Source organism: Homo sapiens, chromosome 10, assembly GCF_000001405.40.
Source record: "Homo sapiens chromosome 10, GRCh38.p14 Primary Assembly".
NCBI lineage: Eukaryota > Metazoa > Chordata > Mammalia > Primates > Hominidae > Homo > Homo sapiens.
The window spans coordinates 103,313,250-103,338,219 of NC_000010.11; the positions used below are offsets into that span (position 1 = coordinate 103,313,250).

The 24,970-nt window shown below is 42.4% G+C and overlaps 1 protein-coding gene across 3 annotated transcripts in view; it reads right to left on the reverse strand.

Moving 5' to 3' along the window:
• The window catches only part of PCGF6 (polycomb group ring finger 6), a 48,345-nt gene that overhangs the window by 10,454 nt on the left and 12,921 nt on the right, over window positions 1-24,970 (reverse strand). For 2 of the 3 annotated variants that reach the window (NM_032154.4, NM_001011663.2), the window contains 3 exons: window positions 20,676-20,703; window positions 13,285-13,383; window positions 937-1,023 (listed from right to left, as the gene is read on the reverse strand). In NM_032154.4, the coding sequence (NP_115530.2) occupies window positions 937-1,023; window positions 13,285-13,383; window positions 20,676-20,703 (214 nt within the window). Of the gene's footprint in view, window positions 1-936; window positions 1,024-13,284; window positions 13,384-20,675; window positions 20,704-24,970 lie in introns of those variants that run through there. The other variant, XM_047425832.1, reaches the window with a different exon arrangement.

The following is a 24,970-nucleotide window of genomic DNA, read 5'->3' on the forward strand; positions in this document are numbered from 1 at the left end:
CTGTCTTTGGCCAACATAAAATATGCTAACACAGGCTGGGCAGAGGGGCTCACCCCTGTAATCCCAGCCCTTTGGGAGGCCAAGGTGGGCGGATCACTTGAGGTCAGGAGTTTGAGACAAGTCTGGCTAACATGGTGAAACCCTGTTTTGACTAAAAATACAAAAATCAGCCGGGTGTGGTGGCACATGCCTATAATCCCAGCTAATAGGGAGGCTGAGGCAGGAGAACTGCTTGAACCTGGGAGGCAGAGGCTGCAGTGAGCTGAGATAGTGCCACTGCACTCCAGCCTGGGCAACAGATCAAGACCTTGTCTCAAAAAAATGAATAAATAAAAATACAATATACCAGTACGAACAGTAGCTGATAGAAAAAAAAAAATCTCATCACGTTTTAAGAAAGTTTATGAATTTGTGTTGGGCCCCATTCGCAGCTATCCTGGGCCACATGTGGCCTGAGGGCCACAGGTTGGACAAACTTGGCTCTAAAGCCTAATAAGTACTTGCAAGTTTTTCTTGAAATGTCCTTCTGGATGCATTGGCCTAGAAGCCTTCAAAATTGTATTATAGCACTGGACAGGCGGAAAAAAACAAGGCTTTTAGAATCAAACTGCCTAGAGTCTGAGCCCTGTCTCACCCACTGACTGTAGGAAGTTATATGTCCTTACTGTATCTCAGTTTCCTTTATCTTTAAAATGGGAAATAAAAAACTGCCTGCTTTCTTAGAATAATTATGAAGAATAAATAAGCTAATCTACATAAATTACTTAGAACAGTACCTGACACACAGCAAGAATTTGATAAATATTAAATATAATTATTATTTATAGTGTAGGTAATTTTAAGAGTATTGTAGAATATTTATGAAAACTTACTGATAACATGGATAACTTTCACTAAGTAACTTATCTGTTAGACATGGGTATGTCTATAACCTACCTGCATTGCTGCATCACCTATTGCACGTCGGATTTCCCTTAGAGTTTGATACTGCTCCAACAGGTGATCACCACAGATTATATCTACCTATGGACATGAAGAGAGTATTAGATTGATTTCTTGCTTCAAAATACCATCTGAAGAAATGAGGAAAACAAATCAACATAAATTGTTTCCAAACTAGATTTTGTAATTTTATTTTAGACTGATTAAACGCTCTTGAAAAGAGAGTTTTAGAAACTTTTTACAGAAGTAAATAAGGTAACATGGGAAGAGCATTAGAGGATACAGCAGGACAACAGCACAGTATAATTGATATTCAAAATGATTTCCCTGAATCTCAAAGAAATTAAGTCATTTTAGACTTTAATTAAGAAATTCATTTTGACATTAATTAAGAAATTAAGTCAAATTAGATGTATTCAACATCAGGTAGCAAAGGAAAGTATATCTTTTTAAATATCTGTGATAAAAATCATTAAGGCCGGGAGCAGTGGCTCACGCCTGTAATCCCAGCACTTTGGGAGGCAGAGGCGGGCAGATCACCTGAGGTCAGGAGTTCCAGACCAGCCTGGCCAACATGGTGAAACCCTGTCTCTACTAAAAATACAAAAACTAACCAGGCACGGTGGTAATCATGGTGCCTGTAATCCCAGCTACTTGGGAGGCTGAGGCAGGAGAATCACTCGACCCCAGGAGGTGTTGGTTGCAATGAGCCGAGATCATGCCATTGCATTCCAGCCTGGGCCACAGAGCGAGACTCTGTCATAAAAAAAAAAAAAAAAAAAAAAAAAAAATCATTAAAAGGTATTAATGCTTAAAAAGGCAATCATCCATTATTTGAAAAAATTCTCTTAGGAGGAATATCTCATTTTCCAACAATGCCACATAAATCATAGTACAACACTGACTTGAAGTTCACACTAAGGAAACTGTTTTGTAGATGGAACAATTTCAACAAGGACTTTTCAGCCCTTTGGTAATTGCAAAGCTCCAAGATATATCTTTTTATTCCCCCCAGACAGGGTGTCACTCTGTCACTCAGGCTGGAGTGCAGTGGCCCAATCATAGCTCATTGCAGCCTCAAACTCCTAGGCTGAGGCAATCCTCCCACCTTAGCAACCCAAGTAGCTGGGACTAGAGGTGTGCACCACCACATCTGGCAAATTGTGTGTTTTTTAGTTCGTTTTTTGAGATGGAGTCTCGCTCTGTCGCCCAGGCTGGAGTGCAGTGGCACAATCTCGGCTCACTGCAAGCTTCACCTCCTGGGTTCACGCCATTCCCCTGCCTCAGCCTCCCGAATAGCTGGAACTACAGGCACCCACCACCATGCCCAGCTTATTTTTTGTATTTTTAGTAGAGACGGGGTTTCAGTGTGTTAGCCAGGATGGTCTAGATCTCCTGACCTGATGATCCGCCCACCTCAGCCTCCCAAAATGCTGGGATTACAGGCGTGAGCCACCGTGCCCGGCCAATTGTGTGGTTTTCTTTTTTCAATTTTTGTAGAGACAGGGTCTCGGTATATTGCCCAGGCTGGTCTCAAACTCCTAGTCGTAAGTGATCCTCCTGCCTTGGCCTCCCAAAACACAGGTGTGAGCCAGTGTGCTCCGGCCAATATACTGACTTTTATATAGAATTCTCTAGAGAGAATATTGTTGTATATATACATTTTATTAAGACTCTACTATACTTACTTGCTAAGATAGAAATGCAAATCTTTAATCTTTCACTGAGTACTACTTCCTATTACCTTAAAATGGGGTTAGAGCCTCAACAGCTTATATGTGTGTGTGTGTGTGTGTGTGTGTGTATATATATATATATATATAGAGAGAGAGAGAGAGAGAGAGAGAGAGAGATATCTCACTTAACTGGCTCCATCTCCTAACATTACTATTTAGATTATGGTATGAAATTTCTCATTGTCTTCCATACCAGAATGTCACCTCTGCTTCCTCTTTCTCCTTTTCCTTTCTTCTTACATGCAATCAATTACAAAGTCCTATTGCTTCTTTCTTCCTATCTCTTGAATTCATATCATACCTTTCAACTACTGCCCATAGACTTAAACCACTAAAACTACCTCCTAGCCAGACTTCTTATCTTCAATACTGTTTACTCCAATAAATTTTATACACTGTCAACATGTTAAACTCTAAAAACTTTTAGCATGGTTGGGAAAGAACAGTAATAGCAGCTGCATTTAAATAAGCAGCCACTATGTACAATAAGTTACATATGTATTTGACATGTGTTATCTAATCCTCATATTCCTATGAATTAGGTAACTACAATTCTGATTTTACAGATAGGGAAACTAAGAAGTAAAGACATTAAACTTTCCTGAGATCACAAAGCTAGTAAATAGCAAAGTTCAGATATAAACCCAGGTCTGTCCAAGATCTAATTTTCTCCAAAGCCTAAATGCCATCTCAGGGGTCGGCAAACCGTTTCTGCAAAGGGCCAAATAATAAATGCCTCAGGCTTTGTGGGCCATAGCATCTCTGTTATATCTCTTCAATTCAGCTGTTATAGCACAAAAGCAGCCACGGTGTGGCTGTGCTTTCAATTCATTTTGCAAATACCACTCTGTCAATTTAAAAGCTAGTAAGTCTAAAATCCAAAAGTTGTTACTAATCTGAGATTATATAGAATTATGAGATAGAACCCGGGTTGGCATACTCAAGGGCCAAATCTAGCCTGTCACCTGTTTTTAGAGTGGTATTTCCAAAGTGACTTGAAAGTAATGATATGAGATCTTGCACAGAGAACTTAGATCCATAAAAAGTTAAAGAATTTGGTACCATCATTGTTTTATTAATTTTATTTTATTTTATTTTTTTAGACAAGAGTCTCACTCTGTCGCCCAGGCTGGAGTGCAGTGGCGCAATCTCAGCACACTGCAACCCTTGCCTCTCAGGTTGAAGCGATTCTCATGCCTCACCCTCCCAAGTAGCTGGGATTACAAGGGCACGCCACCACACTCGGCTAATTTTTGTATTTTTAGTGGAGATGGGATTTCCCCATGTTGGCCAGCCTGGTCTCAAACTCCTAACCTTAGGTGATCCGCCCACCTCAGGCTCCCAAAGTGCTGGGATTACAGGCATGAGCCAAATCACCGGGCCTATGTTTCATTAAATATTTAGCAATCCAAAAACTATCACTCTTAGTGGGCTTTATACCACGTGGTATACATTCACGGTATTATTACTATATTTTCAACTTTGAATTTTTACAGATCTTTAAATTTTTTGTAAAAAGCTTTACAAAAATCTTTACAAAATAATTCACTGTAACAAATTCAGAAAACACAGAGGTGCTGGGTACTGTGGCTCTCATCTATAATCTTAGCTGCTTGGGAAGCTGAGGCAGGAGGACTGCTTGAGTTTGAGGTAGTGAGATATGATCGTACCGCTCCACCCCAAGCCTGGGCAACAAAACGAAACCTCATCTCAAAATAAATAAATAAATAAAAAGACAGGTATATAGTAACAAACTTAAAAAAAATTGTAGAAAGTAGAATGATAAATCCTCACTTCAATCCTAGCCCCTAGAGGGTGGTCAGTTTCTTTTTTCTGTTTTTTTTTTGAGACAGAGTTTCGCTCTTGTTGTCCAGGCTGGAGGGCAATGACGCAACCTTGGCTCACTGCAAACTCTGCCTCTCCTGGGTTCAAGCAATTCTCCTGCCTCAGCCTCCCAAGTAGCTGGGATTACAGGCATGCATCACCACGCATGGCTAATTTTGTATTTTTAGTAGACACGGGGTTTCTCATCTTGGTCAGACTGGTCTCGAACTCCCGAACTCAGGCAATCCGCCCACTTCAGCCTCCCAAAGTGCTGGGATTACAGGCATGAGCCACCGCACCCAGCTGGGGTTGGTCAGTTTCTAAGAGTTTGATGTGTATGGTCCTAGAACACTATGTGTGCATGTGGGTTTTTCTGTTATTCATTTTTTGCTTTAAAAAAAATGGGATCAACTGGGTGCGGTGGCTCACGCCTGTAATCCCAGCACTTTGGGAGGCCGAGACGGGCAGATCACCTGAGGTCAGGAGTTCGAGACCAGCTTGGCCAACATGGCAAAACCCTGTCTCTACAAAAAATACAAAAATAAGCTGGGTGTGGTGGCAGACACCTGTAATCCCAGCTACTCAGGAGGCTGAGGCAGGAGGATCACTCAAACCTGGGAGTCAGAAGTTGTAGTGAACCGAGATCGCGCCACTGCACTCTAGCCTGGGTAACAGAGGGAGACTCCATCTCAAAAAAAAAAAAAGAAAAAAGTGCGGGTGCGGTGGCGCACACCTGTAATCCTAGCACTTTGGGAGGCTGAGGCAGGCGGATCACAAGGTCAGCAGTTCAAGACCAGCCTGGCCAAGATGGTAAAACCCTGTCTCTACCAAAAATACAAAAAAATTAGCCGGGCATGGTGGCGGTCGCCTGTAATCCCAGCTACTCAGGAGGCTGAGGCAGAGAATGGCTTGAACCTGGGAGGCAGAGGCTGCAGTGAGCTGAGATGGCACCACTGCACTCCAGCCTGGGCGACAGAGCGAGACTCTGTCTGAAAAAAAAAAAGAAAAAAGAAAAAAAAAGTTGGTTTTGTTGGCACTCGCTGTCTAACAACTACCAAATTGCAGTTAGAAAACTTTTCACATTAGTGTAGGAAACTTTTTGCAGGCCTAGTTCCTCGATAGCCAAAGGCCAGCTTTGTAAGCAGGCCCTTCTAACGACAGCAGCCTCAAGGCTGATACGTTAACTCTTTTGTGCATAATATCTTACCCTCTGGAGTATCAAGAAGAGATAACAAAAATATTTTTGAATCTCAGAGCAGAAATCAGACCATGAAAGTAGTCTTATTAAAAGGAGAAAAAGTCCTCATCTTTTTAAAAGCAAGATCATGCTAGAGCTTCCAAGTTAAGATTTTTCAATCAGTGTGCTTTGATAAGCCACACTGGCTCATTCCTTTGATCATACATACTCTTCTTTTCGAGATGGAGTCTCACTCTGCCGCCCAGGCTGGAATGCAGTGGTGGGATCTCGGCTCACTGCCACCTCCGCCTCCTGGGTTCAAGCGATTCTCCTGCCTCAGCCTCCTGAGTAGCTGAGACTACAGGCGTACCACCATGCCCAGCTAATTTTTTTTTTGTATTTTTAGTAGAGACGGGGTTTCACCATGTTGGCCAGGATGGTCTCGATCTCTTGACCTTGTGATGTGCCCGCCTCGGCCTCCCAAAGTGCTGGGATTACAAGCGTGAGCCACCGGACCTGGCCATACATACTCTTCTTTGCTACTAAGTTCTTTTTTTCTGTGTCTGGCAAATTCCTATTTGTTCTTCAAACCCATTCCTGAGTTAAATCATTCACTTTTGTGTTATCTCCACTGTTGCATTCATTACATCCTATTGTTAGTTAGTTGTTTACTTATATATCTTTCCTACAAAATTCTGAGTCCCCTGATGGCATGAATTTTGTCTCATCTTTGTACTCCTAAGGTCAAATACATAGACCCTCAATTTAGTAACAATATATAATAAATGGTATGGAAACATCATATATTAGTCCTTAAAAAATTATTTGGAAACTAAATTTAATAGAAGGCTTAATATCATACACCAAATAAGTAATAATAATAACCTAACTTTTTTGAGATGGAGTCTTGCTCTGTCGCCAGGCTGTAGTGCAGTGGTGCGATCTCGGCTCACCGCAACCTCCACCTCCTGGATTCATGTGATTCTCCTGCCTCATCTTCCCGAGTAGCTGGGACTATACAGGTGCATACCACCATGCCCAGCTAATTTTTGTATTTTTAGTAGAGATGGGGTTTCACCATGTGGGCCAGGATGGTCTCCATCTCTTGACCTCGTGATCCGCCCGCCTCAGCCTCCCAAAATGCTGAGATTACAGGTATGAGCCACCATGCCTGGCCAGCCTAACTTTTAAGATGGAATTAGTTATGGCAGGATTAACAAAATCAAATATCACATCTTATAGAAGAATTTTTAGTGATCAATGTGAGGTGTATGTTCTAAATTTCATCTCATAAAAGCAAAATAAGGTCTGAATATCAAACAAAGCAAAATACAATAAGACATCAAAGAGTAAATACCACTAAATCAACCACAGTAACCCTGAGACACTGGAGTCTCTATGAGAAAGAAACATATTTGGATAATTATTGATCTCTAAATTTTAAATGAACTTAAATCTTTCTTAAGAACACATGATGGCCGGGCGCGGTGGCTCACACTTGTAATCCCAGCACTTTGGGAGGCCGAGGTGGGCAGATTGCCTGAGGCTGGGAGTTCAAGACCAGCCTGGCCAACATGGAGAAACTCTGTCTACTAAAAAAACTAGAAAATTAGCCAGGCATGGTGGCGCATGCCTGTAATCCCAGCTACTCAGGAGGCTGAGGCAGGATAATCGCTTGAACCCAGGAGGCGGAGGTTGCGGTGAGCCGACATCATCGCACCATTGCACTCCATCCTGGGCAAAAACAGTGAAACTTTGTCTCAAAAAAAAAAAGATCTGTATTTTTTAAACTTTTGGAATTGTCTTGTTTTTAAAATTTGATCTGCCACAAAAAACTTTAAAGTTTAACAGTCCCGTGGGAATTACTCGTTCCTGTTAGTAAATAACCATAAATGAAGGTCACATATCTGTAAACCATGCACACATTTCCCACCTGGGACTAACTGGTTCAAAGAAAGTCAGCATAGCAGGCTCGTGACTGCAGGACACCAAGAATTGTAGTCTGATGACTAGCAAACCAGCTCAATGTTTTGTTCATATTAGAAGTAACTCTTAATTACTTACTCTACCTTAAATTTAGGCCTCAACAATTTTAGTCCCCAATTAATGGGTCTGTATATTTGATAATTCTAACATTTTGGTTAAATAATAATTTATGAACATTACCAGCTATACAGTAGCTGAGTGGTAGAATATTTATTTAGAGAGCCAAGAGCTGACAAAGAAAATTAAAGGTTGAAACAAATTTTATATCTTTCTTTTTGAGACAGGGTCTCATCATGCACTGCCGCCTTGACCTCCCAAGCTTAGGTGATCCTCCTACCTCAGGCTCCAGAGTAGCTGGGATTACAGGTATGAGCCTTTATATCATTTTATTTCAAAATGCTAAAAGCCTTAAATTCTATGATGTAAGCAAAAAAGAAACCCACATTTTTAGGTAACAAAATCAACTTAGAAGAGAAATACTGTACAAGATGGTGACTATATGTAATAATATATTGTAGGCTGGGCGCGGTGGCTCATGCCTGTAATCCCAGCACTTTGGGAGGCCAAGGTGGGCGGATCACGAGGTCAGGAGATCGAGATCATCCTGGCTAAATGGTGAAACCCTGTCTCTACTAAAAATACAAAAAATTAGCCAGGCGTGGTGGTGGGTGCCTGTAGTCGCAGCTACTCAGGAGGCTGAGGCAGGAGAATGGCATGAACCCGGGAGGCGGAGCTTGCAGTGAGCCGAGATCGCGCCACTGTACTCCAGCCTGGGTGACAGAGACTCCGTCTCAAAAACAAAGAAACAAACAATAATAATAATAATAATATATTGTAATTGCTGAATAGAAATTTCAAGTGTTTTCACCACAAAAAATGTGAGGTAATGGTATGTTAATTAGCTCAATTTTGCCATCCCACAATGTATACATATTTCAAAACATCATGTTGTATACAATAAATAGATATTATTTATTTCATTTCACTTTTTTTTTTTTTGAGACAGAGTCTCACTCTGTCACCCAGGCTGGAGTGCAGTGGCATGGTCTCAGCTCACTGCAACCTCCGCTTCCTAGGTTCAAGGGATCCTCCCACCTCAGCTTCCCAAGTAGCTGGGACTATAGGCATGTGCCACCACACCCGGCTAATGTTTGTATTTTTACTAGGGACAGGGTTACACCATGTTGGCCAGGCTAGTCTTGAACTCCTGACCTCAGGTGATCCACCCACCTCGGCCTCTGAAAGTGCTGGGATTACAGGGTGAGCCACCTTGCCTGGCCTTCACTTCACTTATTTTTATTTTTTTTGAGACAGTGTATTGCTGTCGCTCAGGCTCAGTGCAGTGGTGCAATCATGGATCACTGTAGCCTGGATCTCCCAGGCTCAACCCACCTCAGCCTCCCTAGGAGCTAGGACTACTAGGATTACAGGTGTGCGCTTAATTTTGTGTGCAGCTAATTTTGGTATTTTTTGTAGAGCTGGGGTTTCGCTATGTTGCCCAGGCTGGTCTCAAACTCCTGGGCTCAAGCTATCCATCCACTTTGGCCTCCCAAAGTGCTGGGATTACAGGTGCAAGCCACCACGGCCAGCCCAAAATATTTTGTTTCTGTCAATTAAAAAAACAGGCTGGGCACAGTGGCTCATGCCTGTAATCCCAGTACTTTGGGAGGCTGAGGCAGGAGGATCACTTGAGGCCAGGAGTTTGAGACCAGCCTGGGCAAAATGATGAAACCCCATCTCTACTAAAAAATACAAACAATTTAGCCGGGCATGGTGGCATGCACCTCTAATCCCAGCTACCTGGGAGGCTGAGGCAGGAGAATTGCTGGAACCCGGGAGGTAGAGACCGCAGTGAGTCAAGACTGTGCCACTGCACTCCAGCATGGGTGACAGAGCAAGACTCTGTATCACACACACACACAAAAAGTCCAGCCTGGGCAACACAGTATGTTATCCTTGCCACCAAAAAAAAAACAAAAAACAAAAAACAAAAAAAAAAACAACCCACAAAACACAAAACATACACACACACAGACACATAAATAGCCATAGAATAATCTGTATTCTAGAGAGGGTCCTCCTGGGTATCACTTCTTTTTCTATAATAAGGGCAAGTCTTCTGCTTTTAGAAATAACAGGCTGTTATGGGATCACTCATAATTCTTAATCCAGGAGTCACTAACCAGCTTTGTCTCTAACAAAAACCTAAGAATAACCTCAAGTGTGCTGTGGCTACAAGGTAAAAATAAGTCATTTCTAGTTTTCAGCTGCCATGAGATATAACCAGGATATGTCAAGCTCAGTTAGAGAAGTCATATTTCACTGGATTTAGTATATATTTACTACCAGTAAATATCGGTACTAAAAACACTAGCAAACTTTCAGTCACTTTTTTTTTTGAGTTGGAGTTTTGCTGTTGTTGCCCAGGCTGGAGTGCAGTGGCGCCATCTCGGCTCACTGCAACCTCCGCCTCCTGGGTTCAAGTGATTCTCCTGCCTCAGCCTCTCAAGTAGCTGGGATTACAAGCATGCGCCACCACGCCCGGCTGATTTTATATTTTTAGTAGAGATGCGGTTTACCATGTTGGTCAGACTGGTCTTGAACTCCTGACCTCAGGTGATCCACCTGCCTTGGCCTCCCAAAGTGTTGGGATTACAGGTGTGAGCCACCGCGTCCGGCCCCTTTTCTTTTTTTTGATATAGAGTCTCCCTCTTGTCGCCCAGGTTGGAGTGCAGTGGCATGATCTTGACTCACTGCAATCTCCACCTCCCGGGTAATAGCGATTCTCTTGCCTCAGCCTCCTGAGTAGCCAGGACTACAGGTGTGCGCCACCATACCTGGCTAATTTTTGGTAGAGACGGGGTTTCGCCACGTTGGCCAGACTGGTCTTGAACTCCTGACCTCAGGTGATCCACCTGCCTCGACCTCCCAAAGTGCTGGGATTACAGGCATGAGCCACTACACATGGCCAGTCACTGTTTTAACATATCTATTAATTTAACTAACAATACAGTATTTTATTATTTTATTTTACTATTTTTTTGAGACAGATTATCACTCTGTCGCCCAGGCTGGAGTGCAATGGCATGATCTAGGCTAACTGCAACCTCCGTCTCCCAGGTTCATGCAATTCTCCAGCCTCAGCCTCCCGAGTAGCTGGGATTACAGGAGTGTGCCACCATGCCAAGCTATTTTTCATTTTTTAGTAGAGACAGGGTTTCACCGTGTTGGCCAGGCTGGTCTCAAACTCCTGACCTCAAATGATCCACCTGCCTTGGCCTCCCAAAGTACTGGGATTATATAGGTGAGTCACTGTGCCCAGCCACAATACACAGTATTTTAGATAAAAAATTATTCTATAAAACTTAACACATGATGGAGAATAACAAAAAGGCTTTTTAAATTTGACTAATGAAAAAAAAAAAAAGAAAAAGCAAAGCTATATAAATGTTCATTTTTACTAACTGGACCACAGAACTAGAACTATGAGTATATTTTACTTTTATGTTCAATGATACATGAAGTTTGAGGTTTCCATCGTACAACAAGAAGAAAATATTATGGCTGGGCGCGGTGGCTTATGCCTGTAATCCCAGCACTTTGGGAGGCCGAGGCGGGAGGATCACGAGGTCAGGAGATGGAGGCCAGCCTGACCAACAACATGGTGAAACCCCGTCTCTACTAAAAATACAAAAATTAGCCAGGTGTGGTGGCACAGGCCTGTAATCCCAGCTACTCAGGAGCCTGAGGCAGGAGAATCACTTGAACCCGGGAGGCGGAGGTTGCAGTGAGCCGGGACCGCCCCACTGCACTCCAGCCTGGGCAACGGAGTGAGACTCCGCCTCAAAAAAAAAAAAAACCAAAAAAAAAAAAAAAGAAAATATTACATAGCTAGAACAGGAGATCTCTTTTAATCCATAAAAAAAACTAATAGGGTCAGCTGGGCATGGTGGCTCACGCCTGTAATCCCAGCACATTGGGAGGCCGAGGTAGGCGGATCACCTGAGGTCAGGAGTTCGAGACCAGCCAGACCAATATGGAGAAACCCCATCTCTACTAAAAATACAAAATTAGCCTGGCATGGTGGCACCTGCCTGTAATCCCAGCTACTCAGGAAGGCTGAGGCAGGAGAATCGCCTGAACCCGGGGGGCGGAAGTTGCAGAGAGCCGAGATCACGCCATTGCACTCCAGCCTGGGCAACAGAGTGGGACTCAGTCTCAAAATAATAAATAAAATAAAATAAAATAAAATAAAATAAAATAAAATAAAATAATAGGGTCCCTATTAGATAAAAATATTTCACTTCTCTAGGTGTCCTGAGCTTTGCTTGTTTTTTTGTTTGTTTTGTTTTGTTTTGAGACGGAGTCTCGCTCTGTCGTCCAGGCTGGAGTGCAGTAGCGCAATCTTGGCTCACTGTAACCTCTGCCTGCCAGGTTCAAGCAATTCTCCTGCCTCAGCCTCCTGAGTAGCTGGGATTACAGGTGTGTGCCAACAGGTCCGGCTAATTTTTGTATTTTTTAGTAGAGATAGGGTTTCACCATGTTGGTCAGGCTGGAATTCCTGACCTCGTGATCCACCCACCTCAGCCTCCCAAAGTGCTGGGATTACAGGCATGAGCCACTGCGCCTGGCCGAGCTTGCTTGTTATACTTGAACAACTAATAAATGCAAGGATGTCCTATAAAGAAAGCGGATGATAAGCAATATTTTTCTCTACTACCAAAATGGAAAGAGCTGGAACTGAGGCCTCTTTAATATTTCTATCTTCAGCTTTTCTATGACACTAATAGATTGCCATCAGTGGCAGTAGGAAATGGATACTAGCCTGGCACAGTGGCTAACTCCTATAATCCTAGTGCTTTGGGAAGCTGAGGCAAGAGGATTACTTGAGGCCAGGAGTTTGAGACCAGCCTGGACAAAAGCAAGACCGCATCTCTTAAAAAAAAAAAAAAAAAAAAATTAGCTGGGCATGGTGGCATGTGCCTCTAGTCCTAACTACTCAGGAGGCTGAGACAGGAGGGAGGACCACCCAAGCCCAGGAAAACCTCAAGGTTGTAGTGAGCCATGATCGTGTCAATGTACTTCAGCCTGGGCAACAGAAACAGACCCTGTCTCAAAAAAAGAAATGGACAGTAAATCAAATGTGATTAAAGCTGGAGGTGTGAATCACTATGTATCAATATTCAATTAGCATTAACAATGTCCAGGCGCGGTGGCTCATGCCTGTAATCCCAGCACTTTGGGAGGCCGAGGCGGGCGGATCACGAGGTCAGGAGATCGAGACCACAGTGAAACCCCTTCTCTACTAAAAATACAAAAAAAAAATCAGCCGGGTGCAGTGGCAGGTGCCTGTAGTCCCAGCTACTCGGGAGGCTGACGCAGAAGAATGGCGTGAACCCGGGAGGCTGAGCTTGCAGTGAGCTGAGATCGTGCCACTGCACTCCAGCCTGGGCGACAGAGCAAGACTCCATCTCAAAAAAAAAAAAAAAAAACAATGTCTACAACATCATAAAACAAAAATAACAAAAATAATTGCATGAAATCCTACAGAGTTCTTTCTACAGTGTGCTAAAGGTAAGCTCACAACTTTACCTATTCTTTTACATATATGTACTGTACCTGACAAGCTGGATCAAGACCCATTTTTCTTCTGAGGAATTTTTCTACATGTCCAATAGTTGCTTCTCCTGAAACTCGAACAAACTTCTTTTCCAATGGCTACAAAAACAGACAGATAAAACTATTTTTAGGTTAAATATACCTGTACATGCATGACGTATGTGTATATATATGTAATGTGTAAACATTAAAGAAAATTTTATAGCGAAGATGATTCAATAGACTCTTGAAAAAACTTACTATGAAACAAGTTAATACACATATCAGAGAAGAAAAATGGAAATTCTGCTTAGCTTTCCCTTTCTGAAAAGTATGTCAACAATTTTTCTAAATAGGCTTGCTGGTTTATTTTAATGTTTCATTGAAAAAACAAAACTCAGAGTAAAATTTATTCATTCATTTCAAGTACTGAACTTACACTTTAAAGACACAGAGAAAACACCCAATACCAAATGTCTGAAACAACTTTGAGGCCGGGCATGGTGGCTCACGCCTGCAATCCCAGCACTTTGGGAGGCAGAGGCAGGCAGATTGTTTGAGGTCAGGAGTTCGAGACCAGCCTGACCAACATGGAGAAACCCCGTCTCTACTAAAAATACAAATTAGCTGGGCAAGGTGGCACATGCCTATAATCCCAGCTACTCGGGAGGCTGAGGCAGGAGAATCGCTTGAACCTGGGAGGCAGAGGTTGCAGAGAGCCAAGATCGTGCCATTGTACTCCAGTCTGGGCAACAAGAGCAAAACTCCGTCTAAAAAACAAACAAACAAACAAAAAACCCAAAAAACTGCAAGGAAGAAAAAACAAGATGGAGAAGGAATGGCGAGACTAAAAAACATTAAGGGGTGTAAATGACAAATACATTAACCAATTACAATGTATGGACCTTACTGAATCCTGATTGAAAAACTATCAACAATTTTCAGGGGACAATCTAGGAAATTTAAGTAGTACATGAATATCTGATCAAGGGATTATCATTAATTTAAAAAACTGTAGTATCATTATTATGTTGCCATAAAAGGACACTTAACATGAATTTATAATTATTGGAGTGGTGTGTACATGGGAGTTCATTATACTATTCTGCCTACTTTTGTATAAGTTTTAAAATTTTCATAATAAAGGGAATTCTTTTTTTTTTCTTTTCTTTTCTTTTTTGAGACAGAGTCTCACTCTGTCACCCAGGCTGGAGTGCAATGGTGCAATCTCAGCTCACTGCAAGCTCCGCCTCCCGGGTTCACGCTATTCTCCTGCCTCAGTCTCCCGAGTAGCTGGGACTACAGGCGTGCACCACTACGCCCAACTAATTTTTTTTTTTTTTTTCATTAGAGATAGGGTTTCACTGTTAGCCAGCATGGTCTCAATCTCCTGACCTCGTGATCCACCCGCCTCAGCCTCCCAAAGTGCTGGGAGTACAGGTATGAGCCACTGCGCCCAGCCAGGGATTTCTTTTTTAAGTGAAAAATAAAAAGATCACTATCTAGACACATGTGGCTGGAATGTGGGACCCAATAGTTTGAGGTGTAGGAGGTGATAAGTAGATGACAGAGTTTGAAAGTAAAAACTAATGCTTACCCAGCTCCGATCTGAGACAACTAACGATGCTACGACCTCATGCAAATAAAAAGCTGAAGTAATCAGAACTAAACAGTCCCTTACAGGAAAAGCACAAAGTGTTTTTTTAGGACTTACAGACTGGGAGCCTAGAATGGCTACCTAGGGAACCGAGGCACACATTTGTTCCATGTTACAGCACTCAGCTTTCCTATCTGTACAGTAGTTTGTTCTTGAGAACTTTCCCAACTAAAACTCAGAGTCTATATTAGATAGGTATTTTATTTTTCTAGGTGTCTTGGGCTTGCTTGTTATACTTGAGCAACTGATAAATGGTCTGCCCGTTATTACCACAGTACAGCATACAGAATAGGTGTTGAGTGTAGGCACTCCAGGCAGACACCTGGGCTCAAACCCTGGTTCTGCCATTTTCTAATAGTGAGTCTTTGGGCAAGTTCCTGAACTTGTCTGTGTCTCTATTTGTAAAATAGATAAAAATAGCACCTGCTTCATACAATTATCATGAAAATAAGTTAATGTATGTAAATAATAAAAATACCTGTCACATAGTAAGCACTGAAGAGTTGTTAGTGTTGTGAGCCATTTGTCTCTAAGATTATTTGCATCATTTTTGCTCTTTATGTACAGGATTTTAACTTTTTTTGTTTGTTTTTTGTTTTTGAGATGGAGTCTTGCTCTGTCACCCAGGCTGGAGTGCAGTGGAGCGATCGTGGCTCACTGCAACCTCTGCCTTCCGGATTCAAGCGATTCTCTTGCCTCAGCCTCCCAAGTAGCTGGGACTACAGGCGTGTACCACCACGCTATTTTTTGTATTTTTAGTAGAGACAGGGTTTCACTGTGTTAGCCAGGATGGTCTCGATCTCCTGACCTCATGATCTACCGGCCTCAGCGTCCCGAAGTGCTGGGATTACAGGCGTGAGCCACTGCGCCCGGCGGATTTTAACTTTTGAGATGGAGTCTCGCTCTGTCACCCAGGCTGGAGTGCAGTGGCACAATCTCGGCTCACTGCAACCTCTGCCTCTTGGATTCAAGTGATTCTCCTATCTCAGCCTCCCAAGTAGCTGGGACTACAGGTACCCGCCACCAACGTCTGGCTAATTTTGTATTTTTAGTAGAGATGGGGTTTCATCATATTGGTCAGGCTGGTCTCAAACTCCTGACCTCAGGTGATCCACCCGCCTTGGCCTCCCAAAGTGCTGGGATTACAGGCGTGAGCCACCGCACCCGGCCCCAATTTCTTAAACCTAGTAGAAAATGATTTTATTGTTTTATAGGGCTGTCATTACTAAAAGAGAAAACTGAAACAAAGATTTCATGAAAAAAATATAACCAGTAACGGGCTTAAACAAAAATTCTAACATAAGCATATACATATATATGTTTTTGAGATGGAGTTTTGCTCTTGTTGCCCAGGCTGGAGTGGAATGGCGCGGTCTTGGCTCACTGCTACCTCTGCCTCCCGAGTTCAAGCAATTCTCCTGCCTCAGCCACCCAAGTAGCTGGGACTACAGGCGTGAGCCACCACACTAATTTTTGTTTTTTTAGTAGAGACAGGGTTTCACCATGTTGGCCAGGCTGGTTTCAAACTCCTGACCTCAGGTGATCTGCCCACCTCAGCCTCCCAAAGTGCTGGGATTATAGGTGTGAGCCACCGTGCCCGGCCAGTTTTTTTGTTGTTTGTTTGTTTTTGAGACAGTCTCGCTCTGTCGCCTGGGCTGCAGTGCAGTGGCACGATCTTGGCTCACTGCAAACTCTGCCTCCTGAGTTCACGCCATTCTCCTGCCTCAGCCTCCCGAGTAGCTGGGACTACAGGCGCCTGCCACCATGCCCTGCTAATTTTTTGTATTTTTAGTAGAGACGGGTGTTAGCCAGGATGGTATCGATCTCCTGACTCGTGATCCACCCGCCTCAGCCTCCCAAAGTGCTGGGATTACAGGTGTGAGCCACTGTGCCCGGCCTGTTTTTTGTTTGTTTGTTTTTTTTTTGAGATGAAGTTTTGCTTTAGCCCAGGCTGGAATGCAGTGGCGCAATCTCGGCTCACTGCAGCCTCTGCCTCCCGGGTTCAAGCAATTCTCCTGCCACAGCCCTCCTGAGTACCTGGGATTACAGGCATGCATCACCATACCGGGCTAATTTTTGTACTTTCAGTGGAGACAGGGTTTCCCCATGTTGCCGAGGCTGGTCTCAACTCCTAACTTCAAGTGATCCTCCCGTCCTGGTCTCCTAAAGTGCTGGGATTACAGGCGTTAGCCACCGTGCCTGGACAAGCATATATTGTTTCAACCAGATACATTTTTATATCCCCAAAATGTTTACACCAAGCAAATTACAAACAATGTTTCTATTCAAAGTTTCTATCGAATCTTGGCTTAGGTATTAAAAAAAAATCAACAGCTTTATTGAGATGTAATTCACATACCATTAAATTCACCCTTTAAAAGTGTACGATTAAATGGATTTTAGTATATCTACAAAATTTTGCAACCATCACTGCTATGTAATTTCAGAATATTTTCATTACCCTAAAAAGACGCCTGGCTGGGCAAGGTGGCTCACGCCTGTAATCCCAGCACTTTGGGAGGCCAAGGCGGGTGGATCACCTGAGGTCAGAAGTTCAAGACCAGCCTGGCTAACACGGTGAAACCCCGTTTCTACTAAAAATACAAAAAATTAGCTGGGCGTGGTGGGGCGCACCTGTAATACCAGCTACTTGGGAGGCTGAGGCAGGAGAACTGCTTGAACCTGGGAGGCAGAGGTTGCAGTGAGCCCAGATTGCGCCACTGCACTCCAGCCTGGGTGACAGAGCGAGACTCCATCTCCAACAAGAAAAAAAGAAACCTGTACCTCTTGGTAGTCACTCCCCATTCAGCCTCTTCCCCAAGCCTCTGACAACCACTAATCTGCTTTCTGCTCCTGTGGATTTTCTTGTTCTGCACATTTCAGATAAATGAAATCATATAATATATGGATGGCCTTTTGTGACTGGCTTCTTTTCCTTAGCATCATGTTTTCAATGTTTACCCATGTCAGACCATGTATCAGTACTTCATTCCTTTTTACTGTCAAATAATACTCTATTATATGAAAATACATTTTGTTTATCCATTCATCAGCTAATAGGTTATATACACTGTTTCCAGTTTGGGGTTATTATGTTTTTTGAGACAGAGGTTCGCTCTTTTGCCCAGGCTGGAGTGAAGTGGCATGATCTCAGCTCACTTCGCCAAGTTCTCTGCCCTCCGGGTTCAAGTGATTCTCTTGCCTCAGCTTCCCAAGTAGCTGGGATTATAGGTGCCCACCACCACGCCTGGCTAATTTTTGTATTTTTAATAGAGATAGAGTTTTGGCATGTTGGCCAGGCTAGTCTCGAACTCCTGAACTCAGGAGATCCACCTGCCTTGGGCTCCCAACGTGCTAGGATTACAGGCATGACCCAATGTCCCCAGCCCAATTTGAGATTATTAAAAATACATATATATTTCAAATCAAATCCAAATAATGTGCACACAATGTAATTAATTTATATGTCCCTTAAGTTACTTTTCTCAATAGGTTTCATCTGTAGGTTTATTCTTCATCTCTTTCCTTTTTAATTTATTTGCTGAAGAAACAGAATTGGTTGCTATGTAGTTTTCCACTATCTTGATCTGGCTTATTATATTCCTTCAGTGTCATTTAATACATCTCTCTCTCTCTTTTTTGAGACAGAGTCTCGCTGTGTCGCCCAGGCTGGAGTGCAGTGGTGAGGTCTTGGCTCACTGCAAGCTCCGCCTCCCAGGTTCACACTATTCTCCTGCCTCAGCCTCCCGGGTAGCTGGGACAACAGGCACGCGCCACCGCGCCTGGCTAATTTTTTTTGTATTTTTAGTAGAGATGGGGTTTCACTGTTAGCCAGGATGGTCTTGATCTCCTGACCTCGTAATCTGCCCACCTCGGCCTCCCAAAGTGCTGGGATTACAAGCTTGAGCCACCGCGCCCGGCCTAATACATCTCTGTGTCCCCTGTATTTCTTGTAAATTAGTAATTAAATCTAGAAGCATAGTCACCTTCCTATATGTCTTGGCAAGAACACTTCAAGGTGATATTGCTACCATGTTTTTTCATGTGTAAGAACCACAACTATATATTCTGGGTTGCACATGTGTTTCTGAGGAAGCAGTAGACTAATACTTTATCTTTTCTGTTTTTAAGACAGAGTCTTACTCTGTCACCTAGGCTAGAGTGTAGTGACGCAATCACAGCTCACTGCAGCCTCAATCTCCTAGGCTCACGTGATCCTGCCACCTTAGCTTCCTGAGTAGCTGGAACTGCCCATGCCAACATGCAGAGCTAACATTTTTATTTTTGATAGAGACAGGGTATTCCTGTGTTGCCCAGACTGGTCTTGAACTCCTGGCTCCAAGCAATCCTCCTGAGTTGGCCTCCCAAAGTACTGGGATTACAGATGTGAGCCAACGAACCCGGCCTAATATTTCAATTCATTCTCTAGTTCTTTCTTCATGAGGTTTTAAAACTCTGTTGGACTGACTACTACAGGTTATTAGACAGGCGTCTTCAGGGAACACTGGTAGCATATATCCTGGTGCTTAAACCATACAAAAACGTATCTGCCACTATCCCACCCACTACATGGCTACGAGAATTTCCTAAAGCTGAACACCACCGGTTTGATGTTTTACAACTTAGAAGAGGTTCAACGCTATCAAAAATCATGGGGATTTATGGTCGGGCGCAGTGGCTCACACCTGTAATCCCAGCACTTTGGGAGGCCCAGGTGGGTGGGTCACCGGAGGTCAGGAGTTTGAGAATAGCCTGGCCAACATGGTGAAACACCGTCTCTACTAAAAATGCAAAATTAGCTGGGCGTGGTGGTGCATGCCTGTAATCCTAGCTATTCAGGAGGCTGAGGCTGGGTTCAAGAATTGCTTGAACCCAGACGGCGGAAGTTGCAGTGAGCCAAGATTGCGCCACTGTGCTCTAGCCTGGGCAACAGAGGAAGACTCCATTTAAAAAAAAAAAAAAAAAAAAATCATGAGGACTTAAAACTGCATTCCCTCTATCACATCAATCTCTGAGACACATGTATAATATGCTTCACCCAGAGAATTACCTATCTATTCCTATGCTTTAATTCATGTCTCTGAGCTAGTGTGTTCATAAAACAGTACAGTATATCCAACTAGGTATAATTCACCTAACTTTCAGTACAGACACTTGACAAAGTCACTGAAAATCTAAACAGATCAAAGTCACCTATTCCTTGTATATTTACCTCCCAAGAAACTATAAGGTCTGATTTACCCCTTTTTAAAAAGTTACCTTTTCCTGATGACTCACATTATAGTAGTAACACTGTATACAATGTTACCTGTGATTTCGGAATCTTTAAATCAACTCTGAACTTAAATATGTTACAAAGGAGTTCATTCTTACCTCTAAAACTTCAGTGAATAATTGAAGTAACAAGTAGGGCAAAATAACTTGAGCAAAAAATGTTACATGCAAATAAAATTTTAAGCTCATATTTAATTCTAAATGCCAAATATGCAAAAATGCTTTGAGACATTTTTTATCACCAAATTAACATAGCATTTGGTTTTAGTTTTAAAAAGTATTCACTTAATTTTCCTTAGACTACTGTTCTGAATGAACAAATCCCTACTTAATAACTTTTATTCATAAATCTATAATATTATTAAATGTACTTCATATTTAAATAACTTATTTATACAATCTCCATTTGGTTGCTAATCTGACTCGAATTTGTGTGCTACAGAGTCCTCTTGTGAAATGAATGAAAAAAAAAGTAAAATACCTTAAAATGTCCCGTGCCTTCATTAGCACTGAAAAATGAGAGCAAAATTAATCAATATTTAATACTTTAAGCTATATGTTTAATCATAAAACAACATATATAAATATTTGAGAAACATCAATTCATTGTAATTCTAGAACACAGTCACCTGAAGTTTTATGAAATAAACAAATGTAATTGTCATTTCTGCCACCTAGTGGTTAAGGCAAAGGCAGTTTTATCCAGTATTTTAGTCTACTTTCTATACTTAATTTTAGAAGTTAAAAGTATATTCTCTTTTTTTGATGGAAAATATGAGAATTTACTTATTTTTTCCAGCTTTATTAGGGGATAATAGACAAATTAAAATTGTGTATATCTATAGGTTTTGATACGTATATACTGTAAACTAATAAAATCAAGCAAATCAACATATCCATCAGCTCACATACTTATTTTACTGTAGTGAGAACATTTAGGATCTACTTTTAGCAATTTTCAAGTATATAATACATTATTAACTGTAGTCATCATGATGTACAATAGATCTCCAGGAAAAAGTATATTCTTAAATATTAGATTCCCCCTCACCCCACATTTAGCATCCTAACATTTTACAGCTTAGTCTAATTTCATATTTTTCTTTTAATCATAATCAATGTGATTTTCCTCTCTATAGTAACATTTACAATATAAAATTTCTTACAAGAAGGCTGCTATGCTTCCTATTGCTTTTTTTGCAGAATAATTACCTGGACATAATTTTACTCAGTTTCCTTTTCACCTAGAAGCCTACAGATTTCTTGGTTAAATCAATTACTTTTAAGCCATGAGGGAGACAAGGGTATCTAACTTTTTGTTGAGAAAGTACTATGTGCCAGGCATTGAATTAGGTATTCATGTGCATATGCATGCTTTTCATTTAGTCCTCACAATAGCCCTGCAAATGAGGTATTAGTACCCCTTTCTACAGATGAAAAAAAATTAAGCTCACAGAGGTCATAACTTTCTTTGGGACACACAAATATGGTAGGTAATAAAACTGAAATTCACACTCAGGTGTGCCTAACATCAAAGCCAATGTTCTTTCTTCCTTATGTTGTGAAGATTAGACAAGTTCACAATTCCATCATCTCCAAAGTATTCTTTTTTTCTTTCATTTTTTTCTTTAAGAGATAGGGTCTTGCTCTATCACCCAGGCAGGAGTGTAGTGGCTCACTGCAGCTTCAACCTTCTGGGCTTAAGTGAACTTCTTGCCTTAGCCTACCTGAGCAGCTGGGAGTACAGATATGTGCCACCATGCATGGCTAATTAAAAAAAAAAAAAAATTTTAAGAGATAGGGTCTCGCTGTGTTGGCCAGGCTGGTCTCAAACTCCTGGCCTCAAGCCATCCTTCTGCCTTAGCCTCCCCAAATGCTGGAATTACAGGTGTGAGCCACCACACCCAGACTCCAAAGCACTCATTTTTTTTTTTTTTTGAGACAGAGTCTCACTGTCACCCAGGCAGGAGTGCAGTGGCGTGATCTCGGCTCACTGCAACCTCTGCCTCCCGGGTTCAAGCGATTCTCTTTGCCTCAGCCTCCCGAATAGGTGGGACTACAGGCACCCACCACCACACCCGGCTAATTTTTGTATTTTTAGTATAGACGGGGTTTCACCATGTTGTTCAGGATGGCCTCGATCTCTTGATCTCGTGATCTGCCCACCTTGGCCTCCCAAAGTGCTAGGATTACAGGAGTGAGCCACGGTGCCCAGCAAAGTACTCTTTGTAAGAAAAAAATAGGCTGGGCGAGGTGGCTGATGCCTGTAATCCCAGCACTTTGGGAGGCCAAGGTGGGCAGATAATGAGGTCAGGAGTTCAAGAGCAGCCGGGCCAACATAATGAAACCCCGTCTCTCCTAAAAATACAAAAAATTAGCTGGGTGTGGTGGCGCATGCCTGTAATCCCAGCTACTCGGGAGGCTGAGGCAGGAGAACTGCTTGAACCCGGGAGGCGGAGGTTGCAGTGAGCTGAGATCGTGTCACTACACTCCAGCCCGGTGACAGTGCGAGACTCCATCTCAAAAAAATAAAGGAAAAGAGGCCAGGCGCGGTGGCTCACGCCTGTAATCCTAGCACTTTGGGAGGCAAGGTGGGTGGATTGCCTGAGCTCAGGAGCTCGAGACCAGCCTGGGCAACAAATTAGCAAGGTGTGGTGGCGTGCACCTGTAGTCCCAGCTACTCGGGAGGCTGAGGCAGGAGAATCGCTTGAAATCGGGAGGCAAAGGTTGCAGGGAGTCAAGATCATGCCACTGCACTCCAGCCTGGGCAACAGAGTGAGACTGCGTCTCCAAAAAAAAAATTTAAAAAAAAATAAATAAATAAAAAGAAAAAAGTAATAGAGATACAGAAATATTTATATATTATAAACCTATAAATGATATATTATTTTATATGAAATTATATCAATATATAAATGTAAACTGTAAATCCGTAAATGTACAAATAAATATAAAATATACACATAAATAGAATGTTAAATTATATTATCTTAGAGTTATAAAATAAAACATCCCATTCATTGTAAGAATTATCTCTGTAGAATACTTGGTACATGGGCATCAGCTTCTACCTGAATATCTAAAGACAGCTTAACTGACAAGTCAGCAGTTTCATTTGTGGGTGACTTTGTTAGAAATTGCTTGCTTGCGGCCAGGTGCAGTAGGTCACACCTGTAATTTCAGCACTCTGGGAGGCTGAGGTAGGTGGATCGCTTGAGGTCAGGAGTTTGAGACTTGCCTGGCCAACATGGTAAACTTATGTCTCCAATAAAAATACAAAAATTAGCCAGGTGTGTTGGCACATGCCTGTAATCCTAGCTACTCGAGAGGCTGAGGCAGGAGAATCACTTGAACCCGGGAGGCGGAGGTTGCAGTGAGCCGAGGTCGTGCCACTGCACTCCAGCCTGGGTGACAGAGCCAGACTCCATCTCAAAAAAGCAAAAAAAATTACTTGCTTCCACTTAATCAAACACGCTTCACCCTGTAACATATACCTAGAAGTCATAGTTTTGCCTTCTGGTATTGTGAATCAGACCAATTTTTCTTTTATTTGGTAACCCTTTAAAGATTTTAAACTAATTTGAGGGACTTACCATTGCTTTATTTCCAAACAAAATATTTTTGTTCCTTCTGCTACCACATGACGTATTTTCAAACTTTTACCATTCCAGTTATACCTGTTTACCAATATCTCTCTTAAAATATGGTACCCAGAGCTGAACACAATACTCTTGTTGGACTAAGGCAGCACAGAGTGGGATACTACTCTCGGGTTTACTAAACACCACTGAGCTTAAAATGGCATTAAATTTTTGCTGTATCACACATCTCCTAAGACTCTATTTTCTTTGGTATGCAGGTGTATGTATTATAGCACCATGGACCACTTTAACCTTTATTTTTGAACGGCCCTGCATTATTTCAATACTCATATTGATAATAATTCAGACTTAAGAATATCACATGTTGATTCTTACAACAATCCTTTGAGTTGCTATTGTAACCTCCAGTTTAGAAATACAGAAACTGATGATCAGTTCAGAGAAGTTACATCCCAAGGGTTACCTACTCTGAGTTAGTCTTCAAAACCTATACTCTTTCAACATACCATACTGTCTGTCTTGGGTTATTTCTTTTTATAATCTACTTTACACATAGAAACTATAGAACAAAAAGGATAAGAGTCTATCTTAAGATCATAAAGCTGGGCACGGTGGCTCACGCCTGTAATCCCAGCACTTTGGGAGGTCGAGGTGGGTGGATAACCTGAGGTCAGGAGTTCAAGACCAGCCTGACCAACAAGGAGAAACCCTGTGTCTACTAAAAATACAAAATTAGCGGCCGGGCGCGGTGGCTCACGCCTGTAATCCCAGCACTTTGGGAGGCCGAGGCGGGCGGATCACGAGGTCAGGAGATCGAGACCATCCCGGCTAAAACGGCGAAACCCCGTCTCTACTAAAAATACAAAAAATTAGCCGGGCGTAGTGGTGGGCGCCTGTAGTCCCAGCTACTTGGGAGGCTGAGGCAGGAGAATGGCGTGAACCCGGGAGGCGGAGCTTGCAGTGAGCCGAGATCCCGCCACTGCACTCCAGCCTGGGTGACAGAGCGAGACTCCGTCTCAAAAAAAAAAAAAAAAAAAAATACAAAATTAGCTGAGCATGGTGGTGCATGTCTGTAATCCCAGTTACCCGGGAGGCTGAGACAGGAGAACTGCTTGAACCTAGGAGGCAGAGGTTGCAGTGAGTCGAGATCATGCCACTGCACTCCAGCCTTGAC